The 2,932-nt window shown below is 43.9% G+C and overlaps 1 annotated feature.

The window, feature by feature from the left end:
• Positions 274 to 774: an enhancer, noted in NCBI's record as "H3K4me1 hESC enhancer chr9:25427602-25428102 (GRCh37/hg19 assembly coordinates)". NCBI's record gives its function as "activates a minimal SCP1, AML or CMV promoter by ChIP-STARR-seq in primed H9 embryonic stem cells {active_cell/tissue: H9 hESC(primed)}" and the evidence as "EXISTENCE:reporter gene assay evidence [ECO:0000049][PMID:30033119]".

The raw sequence follows: 2,932 nt of genomic DNA on the forward strand, positions 1-2,932 counted from the left end.
GTGTGAGAGTGTCATAGAGGAGCATGGCCAGGAACACCTATCCGCCTAGGCTTGACTTGCTCTCGTAAGAGACTTTAGTCCTAGGGGAACTATTGGAGCTGAGCTCAGCAGGGTGGTCTTGTCCATCAGATGGGGCCCGTCTGACCTGAGCATCCCTTGATCTCCTGTCTTTCCCTGGGGCCCCAGCCTCTGCCGTGCCTGCTTGCAATATACCATTAGGAGTACTGAGGGTCTGCATCATAGCTTCTGCACTGGTGGAGGACATATGACCAATAGAGAACTGCAGTGGGTTGGCCCTGATGACCACACACCAGTCTGCCCTTCTCTCCCCTTCCCATGGGCCCATGGTCACCACCTACATTGCTTTACTGGCATGTGTGTCCATGGGAGGATTTTGCCTTCCCTGCCTCAGCAATGCATGTGTGCACATGCCCCCTGCCCTGCCACTGCTGCGGATGCAAGTGTACTCTACCCCCCCACCCTTCCCCTTCTACCTGCCATTGCAGAGGGAGTCTTTATGAGCACAGAGAATACAGAACTTACCAGTCAAGCCCCTGCCAGCTCCCTGCCCCTGCACCAACACTGATGCTGGAGTGAAACTAGGCATGGAGAACAGCAGAACCTCCCCTGCCCTGAGTGGCCACTTCTGCTTGCATAAATGTACACAGAGGAAGCATACGGTCCTCGGCCCACCAGCACTCTGCCCCCATGCTAACACCACTACCAGGGCAACCATATGCACAGACATCAGAAGGGACCGCCCATCCCCCCAGCTATGCTGCCTCTGCAGCTGCTGTGAACCCCAGCTATGCTGCCTCTGCAGCTGCTGTGAACACCTGCATGGAGGCCAGCACCCTGGCACCAGCTAGCAGCTGATGAGCATGCACCCCACTGTGCTGCCACTGCCACTTCTGCTAGCATGTGAAAACAAGGATAGATCCCATGAAATGCTCCGGATAATACCACTCATCAGAGTGCTGTGACCAGCAGTCTAGGAACAGCTCAGCCCCCAACCCAGCACGGTTGGTTCCTAACCTCTAGGAGGCAGAGAACAAAGCTGGGGTCCGATAACAGTCACCCAGATTTAGAGAATGTAGTCCAGGAATTGTGAGCTGAGCCATGTCCCCCTAAAATCCTCCAGAAATCCTCAGTCAGTTGACTGAACCCACCTTATACTACAATCAATGCTCAAGGTCATCAAATAGGATTAAAAAATAAATCCCATCTAAAGGACAGCAACTTAAAAGATTGAAGAATCATCAGCCCACAAATATGATAAAGAACCAGCACAAGAACCTTGACAACTCAAAAAGCCAGAGTGCCATCTTTCCTCTAAATGACTGCACTAGTTCTCCAGCAAGTGTTTTGAACCAGGCTGAGATGGCTGAAATGACAGAAATAGAATTCAGAATATGGACAGAAACAAAGATCATAGAGATGCTGGAGTACATTGAAACCCAATCCAAGGAAGCTAAGAATCACAATGTAATGATAGAAGAGTTGACAGACAAAATAGCCAGTATAGAAAAGAATATAACCAACCATACAGAGCTGACACTAAAAAAATTTCGTAATACAATTAGAACTTTTAATAGCAGAATAAAGCAAGCTGAGGAAAGAATCTCAGAGCTTGAAGACTGGCTTTCAGAAATAAGAAAGCCAGGCAAAAATAGAGAAAAAAGAAGGAAAAGGAATGAGGAAAACCTCTGAGAAATACGGGACAATGTAAAGAGACCAAATCTATGACATATCAGTATCCCTGAAAAAGATGAGGAGAATGGAAATAACGTGGAAAGCATATTTCAGGGTATCGCCCATGCGAACTTCCCCAACCAAGCTAGAAAGGCCAATATTCAAATTCAGAAAATTCAGAGAACCCCAGAGAGATACTTCACAAGAAAATCATCCCCAAGAAACATAATGATCAGTTTCTCCAAGGTTGAAATGAAAGAAAAAATGCAGACACAGCTAGAGGGAAAGATTCAGTCACCTACAAAGGGAAGTCCATCAGACCAACAGACCTCTCATAAGAAACCCTACAAGCCAACAGAGATTGAAGGCATATATTCAACATTCTTCAAGAAAAGAAATCCCAATCAAGAATGTCATATTCTGTCAAACTATGATTTATAAGCAAAGGAGAAATAAGATCCTTTTTAGACAAGCAAATGCTGAGGTAATTTGTTACTAGCAGACCTTCCTTACAAGAGCCCCTGAAAGAAGAAGTAAATATGGGAAGGAAAGACTGTTACCAGCAACTACAAAAACACACAGAAGTACACAGATCAGTGACACTTTAAAGCAACCATATAAACAAGTCTGCATAATAACCAGTTAACATAATGATGACAGGATCAAATCCACAAATATCAATAATAACCTTGAATATAAAAAGGCTAAATGCCCAAATTAAAAAGCACAGAGTGGCAAACTGAAGAAAGAACTGAGACCTAACAGTATGCTCTCTTCAAGAGGCCCACCTCAGATGAAATGACAACCATAGGCTCAAAATAAAGGGATGAAGAAAAATCTAACAAGCAAATAGAAAACAGAAAAAGGCAGGGGTTGCAATCCCAATTTCAGACAAAAAAGACTTTAAACCAACCAAGGTCAGAAAGGACAAAGAAGGGCATTACATAATGGTAAAGGTTTCAATTCAACAAGACCTTATTTTCTTAAATATATATACACCCAACACAGGAGCACCCAGATTAATAAAACAAGTTCTTAGGATCTTTCAAAGGGACTTAGATTCCCACACAACAATTGTGGGAGACTCAAACCTTATTGACAATATTAGACAGACTATCAAGGCAGAAAATTAATAAATATATTCAGGAACTGAACTCAGCACTGGATTAAATAAACCTGATAAACATCTACAGAACTCTCCACCTCAAAATCAGAATATACATTGTTCTCATCACCACAT

This window comes from Homo sapiens, chromosome 9 (genome assembly GCF_000001405.40).
Source record: "Homo sapiens chromosome 9, GRCh38.p14 Primary Assembly".
Lineage (NCBI taxonomy): Eukaryota > Metazoa > Chordata > Mammalia > Primates > Hominidae > Homo > Homo sapiens.